The sequence below is a fragment of the Homo sapiens genome, chromosome 20 (assembly GCF_000001405.40).
Source record: "Homo sapiens chromosome 20, GRCh38.p14 Primary Assembly".
Taxonomy (NCBI): domain Eukaryota; kingdom Metazoa; phylum Chordata; class Mammalia; order Primates; family Hominidae; genus Homo; species Homo sapiens.
In genome coordinates this window covers 5,053,532-5,069,462 of record NC_000020.11, presented here as the reverse complement: position 1 = coordinate 5,069,462, position 15,931 = coordinate 5,053,532, and the positions used below count along the sequence as shown (strand labels likewise).

Genomic DNA, 15,931 nt, shown 5'->3' with positions numbered 1-15,931 from the left:
AGTGTTGTGGAGCACCAAAATGCATAAGATGTGATTTCTTGACAATTAGGATTTTTTGAGGGTTGAAGAGGCAGAACTTGTGGTGGAATTGAGAAGGGGTGTTTCTTTCTCAGAGTCTCGAATCCACCTCACGGGAACAAAAGAAAGCTGACCACAAACATCTACCAGCATCCCGTGGGTACATGATGGGAGGCATCAGTGGGAGGAGTCCCGAAGGAGGACTCAGCTCAAGGCTTCCAGAAGGAAGAGGAACACAGGTGTCATCACCTGACTGAGGTTGGTGCCTCTAATTTGAGATAAGCATCTTAAAAGGGCTAAACTGAAAATGTCCTAGGAATAAGTACGTCAGCATGAAAATGACTGATTGTAAAATGCAGCAGAGAGCTTCTCCTACTAAGAGCAGGATATGTGGAGGGAATGTTCCATATGCCTAGAGGAGCAGGCCAAAGGAATTCCAGCTGCCCTCTACCCCCTATGCAACTCCTCTTGTGAATGGTGAGAATGGCGCAGACCACTCCCCATGGCCCCACCTCTGTTCCTGAGGGTAGGAGGATTCCTGTCCCCTTCATACCATCCTTGGTACTGAGAGCGATGCTGAAGAGACTGGGATGCTCATATTCTCACAAAGGGACTGCAGGGTGGTACAGATGGCTGGATGCCCAGTACTACATCCATTCTCCCCTTTTTCTTTAGTAATAGAACCACTGAACCTTAGCTGGATGAGTAATAAAACCGCTGGATAATCTTGGCCTAACATGGTGATATGATTTGGCTCTGTGTCCCCACCCGAATCTCACTTTGAATTGTAATCCCTGTAATTCCCATGTATCAAAGGAGGTACTAGGTGGAGGTAATTGGATCATGGGGTGGTTTCCCCCAAGCTGTTCTTGTGATAGTGAGTGACTCTCATGAGATCTGATGGTTTTATAAGCATCTGGCATTTCCCCTGCTTGCACTCACTCTGTCCTGGTGCGCTGTGAAGAAGGTGCCTGCTTCTCCTTTGCCTTCCACCATGATTGTAAGTTTCCTGAGGCCTCCCTGGCAATGCAGAACTGTGAGTCAATTAAACTTCTTTTCTTTATAAATTACCTAATCTCGGATATTTCTTCATAGCAGTGTGAGAACAGACTAATACGCACAGCCATTAATAGAAAAGCTACGTTTTCCAGCATGCCTTCTAACTAGGTATGGTCATGTGGCTAGGTTCTGACCAATGGAACACAGGTGGAAGTTGTTGGAGAAAACGCCTTAAAACGGGAACAGCTGCAATATCAGCTGCAAGACATTCTTTTACCTTTCCACCTGCCTGGGACCTGGATGTGGAACTGCAGTGTGCCTTGCAAACTTGAAGAGAACGACCTTGATAATGGATGGTGAAGCAAGAAAGAGGAGCCTGAGGCTGAGCGCAGTGACTCACACCTGTAATCCCAGCACTTTGGGAGGCTAAGGTGGGCAGATTGCTTGAGCCCAGGAATTTGAGACCAGCCTGGATAACGGTGAGACTCCATCTCTTGTCTCTACAAAAAAATTTTAAAAATAGCCAGGTCTGGTGGTGCATGCCTGTACTCCCAGCTACTCTGGAGGCTGAGGTGGGAGGATCACTTGAGCACAGGAGGCGGAGGTTGTAGTGAGTCATGACTGTGCCACTGTACTTCAGCCTGGGCAACAGAGTGAGACTCTGTCTTAAAAAAAAAAAAAAAGCAGAGGGGGGCTGGGTGGGGAGGCCGGGTGTGGTGGCTCATGCCTTAATCCCAGAACTTTGGGAGGTTGAGGTAGGTGGATCATGAGGTCGGGAGTTCGAGACCAGCCTGGCCAACATAGTGAAACCCTGCCTCTACTAAAAATACAAAAATTAGCCGGGTGTGGTGGCACGCACTTGTAGTCCCAGCTACTCGGGAGGCTGAGGCAGGAGAATCGCTTGAACCCAGGAGGTGGAGGTTGTGGTGAGCCAAGATGGCACCATTGCACTCCAGCCTGGGTGACAGAGCAAGACTGTCTTAAAATATATATATATATATATATATATATATATATATATATATATATATATATGAGCCTAAACACTGTTGACATTGTGGCATATTCATCTGCAGCGTGGTGGGCAGTTCCAGGACACCTGACATGTTCCCACTGCAGAAACCACACGGGTTTCTCCAGCACCACTGAGACTTGCTCAGCCTGTGTAGAGTAGCCTGGACATACTGGGGCTTTATTTTCCTGAGGACAACCCTCAACCAATGAGTGCCAGGAATCAGTGAGTAACTGCCCACCTGTTTTCCCCCCTCACCGGATAATTCTGAAGCATCTTTTACCCAGCTCTGCAGAGGATCCCTGCAGGACTGAGCCTGGTGCCCGCAGTGATCATCTGCACTTCAATGCACCTTTCCTTGGCTTTCCGCCCTGCGCCGTTTCTCACTTCTCCACTACTTGGAGTCCTTTCCAAAGAAACTATCCATACCTGAAATCTACTTTTACGTAAACCCAAGCTAAGACGGTGGAATATTGCTTCATTTTGAAGTCAGTGGGAGCAATTAAAAGCTTAAACAGGGGCTTGGATGTATGTGGATTGGCAGCTGAGGACCCCAGGGGTGGGGGCCAGAGACTGGAAACAGGTGAGTGAGGGGATGAACACCCTCCTGCCTGTGAGGGATGATGAGCATGAACCCGGGTCAGCGAAGTTCTGTCTGACCCAAGGGACAGTCAAGGTGTGACCTCGTTAATCACAGGTGTGAATAACCAGGAGGAGGGTCCTTGGGTATGTTTGGGGTTTTGATTTTTTTTTTTTTTTTTTTGAGACAGAGTCTCTCTCGCTCTATCGCCCAGGCTGGAGTGCAGTGGCACAATCTCACTGCAACCTCTGCCCCCCGGGTTCAAGCTATTCTCCTGCTTCAGCCTCCCAAGTAGCTGGGACTACAGGCATACGCCACCACACCCAGCTAATTTTTTTGTACTTTTAGTAGAAACGGGGTTTCACCATGTTGGCCAGGCTGGTCTCAAACTCCTGACTTCAGATGATCCTCACACCTCAGCCTCCCAAAGTGCTGGGATTACAGGCGTGAGCCACCGCGCCCAGGCAACATTTTTGTTTTTTAAAAAATGTTCTCTTTCCTCTGCTCCCTAGTTTTGCCTTTTCTGGGATGCTCCAGAACTCTAGGAGGACAAAAAAGCCCTTCATGTCCAACATTAGAGGAAGGCAGCATCCTCCAAAGAAGAGTGACTCACCCTGACCAGCTGGCAGAGAAGCCCAAGGCCAGGCCCTGGGATGTGGAGAGCCAGTCCCAGCCTGGTCTGGAAGGAGGCGTGCCAGGGTGGCAATGATGCATCACCCACGTGGTTTACTGGCCTTGACTAACCTGACCATGACTTAGCAAAGCTGTGAGGTTTCCCAGTCTGGGCCAATATGGGTGTGCGGGTAGAATACAGCCAGCATGGGGAGGCGAAGGCCTGAGCAGCATGCCAAAACCGGGAACTTGTGGCCTCCTTCGCCATCACCGCAGCCCCTCTCCACCCTTCCTCACATCAGCCCCTGCTTCCCCGGTCATTCCAGGGACGGGGGTCTCCAGTGCAGCCCACTCCTCGTCATGGTATTACTCCAGTACAACTCCAATCTGACCTACAGTTTTGGTGTTTGGCATGGCAGGGGCGTGATCCCTACTACATACAACCAGTGAGTCACAGACCTTTGGTCCAGTCTGTGGACTGGTCACTTCCTGTCCTTCATATGAGCTCCCACAGAACCCGGGTCCTGCTCCAGAGCCCAGGCGTTAGACAGGCCCTGGCCTTAACCCGGTTATCTCAGAGGCATCCCACATGCGTCCAGGACACCTGGGAAGCTGGTGGTAGTGAGGAGTGAAGGGCAGTAGGGGGCCTCTGCTCTGGCCCCCTGGCTTCCTGCAAGCCAGGAAAATAGGCCCCACTCACAGCCACTTCTCCCCTGCTGGCTAGCCTCAAAGAGATCATTAGAGGGACTTTGCTGCCCATAACAACAAGGACCATTGGTGAAAACAAGCAGCTCAGGGAAATGGATCATGGAAATCACAGAAACAGAGATTTCTCTGTTCCCATCCCCTAAGATCACCAGTGCCCCTGCTCCTGACAATTGGTCACCTCTCAGCCAACATCTGAGCCTCTGGTGTCCCTTCCTTGTGACAGAGTTCATGATACTCATGGGTTATTTCAATGCATTGGGAAGTTAATCTTTTTTTTTTTGAGAGATGGGGTCTTGCCATGTTGCCTAGGCTGTTCTCAAACTCGAGCTCAGGTGATCTTTCCCACCTCGGCCTCCCAAAGTGCTGGGATCACAGGTGAGAGCCACCACACCTGGCTGAGGAAGTTAGTCTTTATAATGAGACTAAACCTGCCTTCCTATATTTTTCATCTTTTCATGTGCTTATTGGATATTTGCATTTCATTCATGGAAAAAAAAAGATATCTTTTTGGTTTTTGTTTTTTTAATAGAGATGAGATCTCACTTTGTTGGCCCAGGCTGGTCTCAAACTCCTAAGCTCAAGTGATCTTCCCACCTTGGTCTCCCAAAGTGCTGGGATTACAGGCATGAGCCACCACGCCTAGCCCCTGGTATTTTTTTAATCTGTACAAGTATCTGTACTTTGGTTTTCTTTCTTACTACAAATGCTATCTTTGTTTTCAACTCTTTTTTTTCTTTGATCACCTTTTTCAAAAATGTCCATTTTATTATTTTTCCTTCATTGAATTAGCATTTGGTTTGATAAAATTTATTATTGAGTTTTGTTTTCATTTGATTTATTTTTGTTTTCATCTTTAGTAATTTTTGCTTATACTTCCTTTGGACTTATTTTGCTATTCACTTGTCAGCCTCCTAGGTAGAAAATTTAATTTACTTAATGTCAGTCTTTTTTTATTTTGAGACGGAGTTTCGCTCTTGTTGCCCAGGCTGGAGTGCAATGGCGTGATCTTGGCTCACCGCAACCTCCACCTCCTGGGTTCAAGCGATTCTCCTTCCTTAGCCTCCCAAGTAGCTGGGATTACACCCACGCCCCACCACACCCAGCTAATTTTGTGTTTTTAATAGAGATGGGGTTTCTCCATGTTGGTCAGGCTGGTCTTGAACTCTCGAACTCAGGTGATCCACCTGCCTCGGCCTCCCAAAGTGCTGGGATTACAGGCGTGAGCCACTGCACCCGGCCTGATAATGTTTTTGTTTTTGTTGTTTTTGAGATGGAGTCTTGTTCTGTTGCCCAGGCTGGAGTGTAGTGGTGCAATCTCAGCACACTGCAACCTCCGCCTCCTGGGTTCAAGTGATTCTCCTGCCTCAGCCTCCCGAGTAGCTGGGACTACAGGTGTGCGCTACCACACCTGTCTAATTTTTGTATTTTTAGTAGAGACAGGGTTTCACCATATTGGCCAGGCTGGTCTCGAACTCCTGACCTCAGGTGATCCACCTGCTTTCAGCCTCTCAAAGTGCTGGGATTACAGATGCGCACCACCACTCCCAGCCAGTCTTTCTTGTTTCGTTATCTGTGAGCCTGTGGGTATGCATTTTCCTAAGTACCACTTTGGCCACATTTTCCAGATTTTGACATGTAGCTCTCTAATTATGTTTTATTTCTAGGTTGTAATTTGTGTTTTTATTTCCCCTTGGAACCAAGAATCATTTAGAAATTTTTCCAAGTTAACAAATTTTGGGATAATTTTTTGGATTTTTGTTATAAATTCTATTTCATCATGGTCAGAGAATACACATGTATGTGTACATCTGTATGTATATGCAGCTTGTATGACTTTTCACTTTTCTGTAACTTTAATCCACCTGTCTCAGGTCTGTTCTCCGATCCCCCTCAAAGAAAGCTTAGTTCCTTTTCCACAGGATGTGCCATTAAGTATTTCATAGCAGGCCGGCCATGGTGGCTCACACCTCTAATCCCAGCACTCTGGGAGGCCGAGGTGGGCAGACCACTTGAGGTCAGAAGTTCGAGACCAGCCCAGCCAATATGGTGAAACCCCATCTCCACCAAAAAATACAAAAGTTAGCCAGGTGCGGTGGTGCACCCCTGTAATCCCAGCTACTCAGTAGGCTGAGGCAGGAGAATTGCTTGAAACTGGGAGGCAGAAGTTGCAGTGAGATGAGATCACGCCATTGCACTCCAGCCTGGGTGACAGAGCGAGACTCCATCTCAAAAAAAAAAAAAAAAAAAAAAAAAAAATTCATAGCAGCTACTTAGTGATTCCTGTTGAGGGGGATGGAGGAGGATTATGCAGTCCTCCCCTGGAGACTTTTGGTCCTCTGGGGCCTTCTTAAGCACTCAGATCCACCAGCCTCCCTTCCTCCTCCCCAGTTACTGCGTTGAGACAGGATAGGAAAAACTGCTCTAAGTTAGACATTCACAGTAGGACAGCCGTGGTGAGGCTTCACTGTCCTGGAGTCCATCTCTGAAGACACTGGAGTCTCTCAATGTCCCTCCCTCGTAACTTATGAAGGCAATATGGTGCTCAGAATGCAGGGAGCAGAGCATCTCCTCTCTCTGTCCCTGGAGACTATACTTCTCTTTATGTGCTTCAAAGCTAGTATTGTCTTCTTCATAGCTCAGTCTATAAACCAAAGCCCCAAGCCAGTGTTTCCCACATTGTATTCCATAGAATACCAGCTCTGTAGATATCAATAGGTAATATACAGTTCTGTTTAGGGACTGCTGATTATTTATTTATTTATTTATTATTTATGACAGGGTCTCACTCTGTTTCCCAGGCTGGAATGCAGTGGCACTGTCAGGGCTCACTGCAGCCTTGAACTCCCGGGCTCAAGTGATCCTCTCACCTCAGCCTCCTGAGTAGCTGGGACTACAAGCATGCACCACCACACACAGCTAATTTTTTGTATTTTTGTTTTTAGTAGAGACAGGGTTTCGCCATGTTGCCTAGTCTGGTCTTAAACTCCTGAACTCAAGCAATTGGCCTGCCTTGGCCTTTCAAAGTGCTGGGATTACAGGTGTGAGCCACTGTGCTCGACCTAGGACTACTGATTTAAACAAAGAGAAATTTACTTCTTTACCATGGGCATCCAGGTCTCTGTATTTTCTAGTGCATAAATTGACTTTTTTTTTTTTTTTTAATTGAGACAGAGTCTCACTGTGTTGTCCAGGCTGGTCTTGAACTCCTGGGCTCAAGTAATTCTCCCACCTCTGCCTCCCAGTGTGCTGGGATTACAGGTGTGAGCCTCCACACCCAGCCACATAAATGGCTTTTTTTTTTTCTTTTTTTTGAGACGGAGTTTCACTTTTGTTGCCTAGGCTGGGGTGCAATGGTGCGATCTCGGCTCACTGTAACCTCTGCCTCCTAGGCTCAAGCGATTCTCTCACCACAGCCTCCTGAGTAGCTGGGATTACAGGCACCCGCCATCATGCCTGGCTAATTTTTTTGTATTTTTATAGAGATGGGGTTTCACCATGTTGGCCAGGCTGTTCTTGAACTCCTGACCTCAGGTGATCTGCCCGCCTCGGCCTCTCAAAGTGCTGGGATTACAGGCATGAGCCACCACGCCTGGCCTATAAATGGACTTTCTAAGAGGAGGAAAAAGCACAGTGGTGCTTCCCAAACTAATCTGTAATAGAACCCTCTTAAGAACACCAGGTACCTGTTCCGGAACAGATGCTGTGAACCCCCTAATGCCCTATTTTCAAGTATACTCCTGTGAAGTCTTTTTTTTGGTTGAACTTTATTTAGCCAATTGTTGAAATTGGTCCTTTGCTCCATCCTCTCAGTGGGTTTGTATCATGATTCCCCAATCCAGTGTTTCAGCTTTCCCCTGAGATTCTTACTGTCAGCAAATCAGATCAGCCTATGACCTATGTTCTCATACAATGCATAGATAAGCGCTTGGAAAAGGACAGGAGCAAGGACAGAGCCATGTAGTGTGCCTCTGAAATAGGGAGGACACACACATTCATCCCATAGAATGGCTTTGATTGATTGATAAGGGCAGCCTAGGCTAGCACTTCCCAGCCTTCCTTGTGGTGAATCACCTGAGAATGCAGGATGTGACTCAGGGAGTTTGGGGTGGGTCTGAGATTCTGCATTTCTCACAGACTCCCAGGTAATGCTGATGCTGCCAGTTCGGAAACTACATTTTGAGTAGCAAGGTACTAGAGCACTGCATTGAAAGGGATCTGAGGCTACATCTGCACTCAGTGGCAAAGAGTGTTGTGATCAATTAGTAATGTCTGCCACAGGCAGAGAAATGAGCTGTGAATAATGTGCCATCTTTGCCCTACAAGTCTATGTTGAAAATGATGCATTATTCAAGAAAGAGGAGGGAAAAAGTAAGGTATTGATATCATAATATGTTATACAAGCATACAAATGAATGTCTTCATATTTTTGATAGCATAAATTCCAGGCTGTATTGTGTTTTTTAAAAGGCAAGTTTGGAGAATAAACTGTATACTACACTCCCATGTGTTTACAATAATCAATAATCATATACTCTGACAATGCCAAGATTTGACAAAGGTAGAGAGAATGCGAACATTTTTATACTACTAGTGAGAACATAAACTAATATGGCTTTGGAAAACTATCTGGTATTATCAGTAAAACTGAAGACACACTCTATAACCCAGGAATCCTTCTCATGCACATGTGCACCAAGACCCATGGATAGAAGTACTGCATGTAATAGCCCCAAGTTGAAAACTCAAATGTCCCCCAAAAGGAAAATTGATAAATTACGGTATATTCATAATGAAATACTACACAATAATGGAAATGACAAAACTCTAACTATATGTGGATGAATCTGAGAAACAAAATGTTAACTGAGAAAGACAAGACACAAAAGACAATACAGTGGGCCAGGCACAGTGGCTCACACCTGTGATCCCAGCACTTTGGGAGGTTGAGGCAGGCAGATCACTTGAGCTCAGGAGTTTGAGACCAGCCTGGCTAACCGGGTGAAATCCTGCCTCTACTGAAAATACAAAAACTAGCTGGGCGTCGTGGTCTATTCCCGTAATCCCAGCTACTCAGGAGGCTGAGGCAGAAGAATTGCTTGAACCTGGGAGGTGGAGGTTGCAGTGAGCTGAAATTGTGCCACTGCACTCCAGCCTGGGTGACAGAGCAAGACTCCATCTCAAAAAAAAAAAAAAAAAAAAAAGACAATACACTGTATAACATATGATTCCAGTCCATACATTTCAAAAATAGAAGAACCTATATTATTTGGGGATGTGTACACAGGTGCTAAAACTATTCTTTTTTAAAAGGTAAGGTAACAGGGCTGGGTGCAGTGTTTCATGCCTGTAATCCCAGCATTGTGGGAGGCCAAGGCGGGAGGATTGTTTGAGGCCAGAAGTTCAAGACTAGCCTGAACAATATAGCAAGAAGTCATCACTACAGAAGATTAAAAACATTAGCTGGCTGGGAGCAGTAGCTCATGCCTGTAATCCCAGCACTTTGGGAGGCCAAGGCGGGTGGATTACCTCAGGTCAGGAGTTTGAGACCAGTCTGGCCAACATGGTGAAACCCCATCTTTACTAAAAATACAAAAATTAGCCAGGCATGGTAGTGGTTGCCTGGCTACTCAGGAGGCTGACGCAGGAGAACTGCTTGAAACTAGGAGGCGGAGGTTGCAGCGAGCCGAGGTTGCACCACTGTACTCCATCCAGCCTGGGCGACAGAGCGAGACTCTGTCTCAAAAAAAAAAAAAAAAAAAAAAAAAAAAAATTAGCTGGAAGTGGTGCTATGGTCCCAGCTACTCTGGAGGCTGAGTGGGAGGATCCCTGAGTGGGGGTTGAGGCTGCAGTGAGCCATGATCAAGCCACTGCACTCCAGCCTGGGCAACACTGAGACACTCTCTCAAAAACAAAAATAAAATAAAGGCAAGGATAAAATAAAGGCAAGGATATGGCTATCACTAAAGTCAGAATCATGAGCATGTTTAGGAATAAGCTGGCTATGTTCAGGGAGGCACAGACAGGGGCTTTGGGGAGGGATCTTCTCACTTCTATTCCTTCAACTGGGTATTAATGAGTTATTTTTTAAACCTTACATACAAGTTTTTTTTGCATTTTTCTAGGTACTATATACAACATGTGCTATATACAACAGACTCATGTATATAAATGTGTATTTGTTGTTGAGAATTTTTTTTGGAAGGAGACACAGGAAATTGGTAAGCCTGATTACTTCCATAAAGGAGAACTGGGGTTGGGGTATCTGAATGACAGAGGCTGGGAGGTGGAAGCTGTAGTGAGCCATGATCACACCACTGCACTCCAGTCTGGGCAACAGAACAAAACCTGTCTCAAAAAAAAATAAATAGAAAATAAAAGAAAGAAAACAAAAATAAAACATGTAGTTTTGAGCCACTTAGATTTTGGATTTGTTTGTTTTTGTAGCATTACCTAACCTATACTTACTAAAATAGAGCCTTTGTTTTTTCAAGTACACTGTTTCATGAGGGCTTGAGCTCCAGGTTTATTTTCTCCTTCTTGTAAATTGTATTCTTATTACTATTATTTTTAAAGATAAGGTCCTGCTCTGTCACCCAGAACTCCTGGGCTCAAGCAATCCTTTCCGCCTCAGCTTCCAGAGTAGCTACCACTACAGGCATGTACCATCATGCCCAGCTAATTTATTTTATTTCATTTTCATAAAGACTGGGTCTCACTATGTTGCCCAGGCTGGTCTCAAACTCCTGGGCTCAACCTTGTCATCCCACCTCAGCCTCAGCCTCCTGAGTAGCTGGGACTACAGGTGTGCGACACCATGCCCAGCTAATTTTCCCTTTGATGAATATACCCACATACCTAGTTTTAAACATGTTCTCTCTAAGAAAAGATAGTTGACCATGAGTGACCATGGTGGGTCTGTAGGTGCCGGAAGGGTGAAAGTCAAATTCCTTTAAAGTTTAAAGGAAAACCCAAACTGGCAGTTCTCTGCAGAAGAGGACTGTCTTGCATACCTCCCCACAGGTAGACTCTTGGGTGAGGAATGGTCCGGCTCCCTGTGAGGAGAAAGAGGGCAGTAAATAGGAGAGGGACAAAGTAGGCTGGTGGGGCCTACTCAGTCATGAAGGGATTTTTCTTTCCTAGGTCCTCTGCGTCTCCTTCCTCATCTTCCTGAAGACCCTCCTAGTCCAGCCCTGGAGAGAGGATGTAGGACCTGGAGGAGGGTGTACCTATCCAAAGGAGGGATCAGAAATAACAGGGGACGCCAGGCACAGTGGCTCATACCTATAATCCCAGCACTTTGGGAGGCCAAGGGGGACAGATCACTTGAGATCAGGAGTTCGAGACCAGCCTGGCCAACAGAGCGAAACCCTGTCTACTAAAAATACAAAAATTAGTTGAATGTGGTGGTAGGTGCCTGTAGTCCCAGCTACTCAGGAGGCTGAGGCAGGAGAATTGCTTAAACCCAGGAGGCGGAGGTTGCAGTGAGCCGAGATCAGGCCACTGTGCTCCAGCCTGGGTGACAAAGTGAGACTCTGTCTCAAAAAATAAAAAGGAGGGGGGAGGGGGAAAGTGGGGGCATTTCTCAAGGGATGGGCCATGCATGCTTTCTAATAGAAGAGTCAGGCAGGTTGACTTAAAAGATTTAAATAAAAGGCCGGGTGCGGTGGCTCATGCCTGTAATCCCAGCACTTTGGGAGGCTGAGGCGGGCAGATCACTCAGGAGTTCAAGACTAGGCTGGCCAGCCTGGTGAAACCCTGTCTCTACTAAAAATACAAAAAATTAGCTGGGCATGGTGATGCACACCTGTAATCCCAGCTACTCGGGAGGCTGAGGCAGGAGAACTGCTTGAACCTGGGAGGCAGAGGTTGCAGTGAGCCAAGATTGCGCCATTGCACTCCAGCCTGGGCAATAAGAGCAAGACTCCATTTCAAAAAAATAAAATAAAATAAAATAATTAAGTGAATCTGAATATAGGCTTTTTCACATATCCCTGTTAAATTTGATTTTACTTGTTCAGTCCATCATTCTGGATCACAGAGATTGCCCTAAACCCTACTTGGTGTTATCATCTCTCTCTCTTTTTTTTTTTTAGAGACAGTGTCTCACTATGTTGCCCAGGCTGGTCTTAAACAATCCTCCTGCCTTGGCCTCTCAAAGTGCTAGGATTACAGGTGTGAGCCACCGTGCCTAGCCATTATTATCTCACATACTGATTGTTCCTTCAAGCTTAGAGTCATTTACAATTTGATAAACATTTCCTCCATTTTTTTCATTGATAATGCCACTGCAGTCTAGCCTGGGTGACATAGCAAGACCCTGTGTCAAAAAAAAAGATAACAATGTTGTAAGTCAGGCTCCCTAGAAGCAGAGCCTGAGGCGGGGATTCAGCTGCACGTGATGTCTTCGGGGAGTGCTCCCATGAGAAGGAAGTGAGGGAAGCCACATGTGACAGAGGAAGAAGCTGAGCAAAGATGTGGTTTTCATCTAGAATCTAGCCTTAGCATGATCCCACAGAGAGCTCAGAAGTATGAATAGCACCACAGTGTTGGTCTCACCCTGGGGCAAGAGGACCAGCCTTTATACAACAGAGTCACACAGCACTGTTTGCAGGCTGCTGGGGGTGAGTAACCTCCCAGACAAGGCGACCCCTGTTGGCCAAAAATAACTCTCTAGAAAATGGGGCAGTTGTGAGTCATTATCAACCATCACTCCCTGCAGCTGGGGGAAAGATGCACCAGGCAGCTGTATGAGCTTAATTGTGTCCTCCAAAATGTCATATGTGGAAACCCTAACCTCCAGTACCTCAGAATGTGACTCTATTTGGAGACAGAGCCTTTTTTTTGTTGTTGTTTGTTTTGTTTTGTTTTTGAGACGGAGTCTCTCTCTGTCGCCCAGGCTGGAGTGCAGTGGCGCGATGTCGGCTCACCGCAAGCTCCACTTCCCGGGTTCAGGCCATTCTCCTGCCTCAGCCTCCGGAGTAGCTGGGGCTACAGATGCTCGCCATCACGCCCAGCTAATTTTTTGTATTTTTAGTAGAGACGGGGTTTCATCATGTTAGCCAGGATGGTCTCGATCTCCTGACCTCGTGATACACCCACCTCGGCCTCCCAAAGTGCTGGGATTACAGGCATGAGCCACCGCGCCCGGCCGACAGCGCCTTTAAAGAGGTAATTAACTTAAAATGAGGCTGTTAGGTTGGCCCCTAATCCAGTCTGACTGATATCCTTATAAGAAGAGGAATTAGGACACACAGAGAGACACCAGGAATACATATGCACAGAAGAAAGACCATTTGAGGACACAGAGAGACTATGGCCATCTGCAAGCCAAAGAGAGAGACTCAGAAGAAACCCATCCTGCACGTGCCTTGATCTTGGACTTCTAGCCACCAGAGCTATGAGAAAACACATTTCTGTTGTTTAAGCCAAAGCTAGTGGTACTTTTTGGTAGCTTGAGCTGACTGAGACAGCAGATGAACAGGATCTGGATGGCACCAACAACATCCACTACATCTTTTTTTTTTTTTTTTTTTTTTGAGATGGAGTCTCACTCTATCATCCAGGCTGGAGTGCAGTGATGTGATCTCGGCTCACCACAACTTCCACCTCCCAGATCCAACTGATTATCCTGCCTCAGCTTCCCGAGTAGCTGAAATTATAGGTGTGAACCACCATACCCAGCTAATTTTTAGCAGAGACAGGGTTTCACCATGTTGGCCAGGCTGGTCCGATTTTTTTGTATTTTTAGTAGACACGAGGTTTCACCATGTTGGCCAGGCTGGTCTCAAACTCCTGACCTCAGGTGATCTGCCTGCCTTGGCCTCCCAAAGTGCTGGCATTACAGTTGTGAGCCACTGCGTCCAGCCTCCCCTACATCTTCATGTATGCTCTCCACCCAAATCATCTCTCCTTTCCTTCCCCACCTCCTCCCAAAAACAGCTCATTTAAATCTGTCTGCCCTCTCTTCATTGGGAGCTACAGTGCCAATTATAGGAACCAGCTAATTTCCTCTATCAGCTGCCTGCCCCAGACAGGAGCCAACCAGTTTTCCCAGCCTCCTTTCAGCACTTTTGACATCTCAATGAAAACAGTGCAAATGGGCTAGGAATGGTCTTTTGGTTGAAATGAGCCATAAACCATCAAATAATTGCACATGTTTCTATATTTCAGCCCTTAACCCACCATTGATACCCAGTTCTGACTTAGGGGATTTATGTGTCCTTGCCCAGTCTACAAAGAGCTTAAGAATTGTTCCCATGATCTCCATGGAGGGGCAGAGCATCACAAAGGGAAGGAGACAGAGTTGGCTAAACTTTCTGAGATGAGATCTTTAGTTATTAAATCATTAAGGTTAGTTTTCTTTCCAATGTTGGATGTTTCTTGTTGCAACACTAACTCTATTGATCCAGTTTCCACCTAACAGGGGGAATTCTCCAGCCTTCCAGTTGGCTGAACAAGTTTCCAAGGAGTGGACACCAAGTTTGCTAAGTTTAGGGTTGGTAAGTTTGAGTAAGAACTTTGGCTTTTTATCTGGGTGAAATTGGGAGCCATTGGTGAATGTATTAGATTGCTAGGGCTGTCATAACAAAGTATCCCAGACTGGATGGCTTAAACAACAGAAACTAATTTTGTCACCATTCTGGAGGCTTGAAGTCCAAGACCAAGGTGTCAGCAGGGTTGGTTTCTCCTCAGGCCTCTTTCCTTGGCTTGTTGAGATGGCAGTCTTCTTCTATAACTTCACATGGTCTTCCCTTTATGTGTGGTGTCCAATTTTCCTCTTTTTTTTTTTTTTTTTTTTTTTGAGGTGGAGTCTCACTTTGGCTGGAGTGCAGTGGCATGGTCTCGGCTTACAACAACCTCCACCTCCCGGGTTCAAGTAATTCTCCTGCCTCAGCCTCTCGAGTAGCTGGGATTACAGGCACCTACCACCAAGCCCAGCTAATTTTTGTATTTTTAGTAGACACGCGGTTTCACCATGTTGGCCAGGCTGGTCTCGAACTCCTGACCTGAAGTGATCCACCTGCCTCAGCCTCCCAAAGTGCTGAGATTAGAGGTGTGAGCCACTGCATCTGGCTTCTTCTTTTTTGTCACTGCAGCCTCGATCTCCAGGACTCAAGTGATTCCCCCACCTCAGCTTCCCAAATAGCTGGTGGGACTACAGGTGCACACCACCACGCCCGGCTAATTTTTATATTTTTTTATGGAATCGGGGTTCTGCTGTGTTGCCCAAGCTGGTCTCGAACTGCTGGGCTCTAGCGATCTGCCCACCTTGACCTCCCAAAGTGCCGGGATTACAGGCATAAGCCGCTGCACCTGGCCTCCATTTTCCTCTTCTAATAAACACATAAGTCATACACATTAGACCCCACCCTAATGACCTCGTTTTAACGTAATTGCCTCTTTGAAGACTCTATCCCCAAATACAGTTACATTTTGAGGTACTGGGGCTTAGAACTTCAACATATGAACTGAATTGGAGGGGGACACAATTCAGCCCATAACAGAGGGTTTTGGACAGAAGAAGGACTTTGTAATGTCTTAACTGACTTTTTTTATAGTAAATAAGAGAAATGTGGCTGTGTCCTGCCCGGCTCCCAGGCAGCCAGAGCTAATGGTTATCTCCCTTGTTCCCTGAACATCGCTGTTATCCTGTTCTTTCTTCAAGGTGCCCAAATTTCATATTGTTTAAACACACATGCTTTACGAATAATTTGTGCAGTTAATGCAACCATCACAGGGTCTTGAGGCAACATACATCTTCAGTTTACGAAGATGACGGGATTAGGAGATTAAAGTAAAGACAAGCATAGGAAATTTTAAGAGTATTGATTGGGGAAGTGATAAATGTCCATGAAATCTTCACAATTTATGTTCAGAGATTGCAGTAAAGACAGGCCTAAGAAATTATGAAAGTATTAATTTGGAGAACTAACAAATGTCCATGAAATCTTCACAATTTATGTTCTTCTGTCACAGCTTCAGCAGGTCCCTCTGTTCAGGGT

General features: G+C 46.1%; 1 protein-coding gene across 6 annotated transcripts in view, besides 3 other annotated features; it reads left to right on the top strand.

Annotated features, from left to right (window-relative positions):
- TMEM230 (transmembrane protein 230) overlaps positions 1-10,347 on the top strand; it is a 53,961-nt gene extending 43,614 nt beyond the window's left edge. For 3 of the 6 annotated variants that reach the window (XR_002958479.2, XR_002958476.2, XR_002958484.2), the window contains 3 exons: positions 114-276; positions 1,204-1,496; positions 2,094-2,549. Coding sequence is in view for 1 of the 6 variants with exons in the window: in NM_001330987.2 (NP_001317916.1) it covers positions 114-275 (162 nt within the window). In the remaining 5 variants the exon portion in view is untranslated. Of the gene's footprint in view, positions 1-113; positions 1,497-2,093; positions 2,550-10,051 lie in introns of those variants that run through there. The other 3 variants (XR_007067454.1, XR_002958478.2, NM_001330987.2) reach the window with 3 other exon arrangements.
- Positions 3,086-3,586: an enhancer, noted in NCBI's record as "H3K4me1 hESC enhancer chr20:5046523-5047023 (GRCh37/hg19 assembly coordinates)". NCBI's record gives its function as "activates a minimal SCP1, AML or CMV promoter by ChIP-STARR-seq in naive H9 embryonic stem cells {active_cell/tissue: H9 hESC(naive)}" and the evidence as "EXISTENCE:reporter gene assay evidence [ECO:0000049][PMID:30033119]".
- Positions 7,471-8,670: an enhancer, noted in NCBI's record as "P300/CBP strongly-dependent group 1 enhancer chr20:5041439-5042638 (GRCh37/hg19 assembly coordinates)". NCBI's record gives its function as "activates an origin of replication core promoter dependent on BRD2, BRD4, P300/CBP, MED14 and CDK7 cofactors, with strong dependence on P300/CBP, by STARR-seq in HCT116 cells {active_cell/tissue: HCT116}" and the evidence as "EXISTENCE:reporter gene assay evidence [ECO:0000049][PMID:35650434]".
- Positions 12,488-12,537: an enhancer, noted in NCBI's record as "active region_17505". NCBI's record gives its function as "activates an Ori minimal core promoter by ATAC-STARR-seq in GM12878 lymphoblastoid cells {active_cell/tissue: GM12878}" and the evidence as "EXISTENCE:reporter gene assay evidence [ECO:0000049][PMID:35858748]".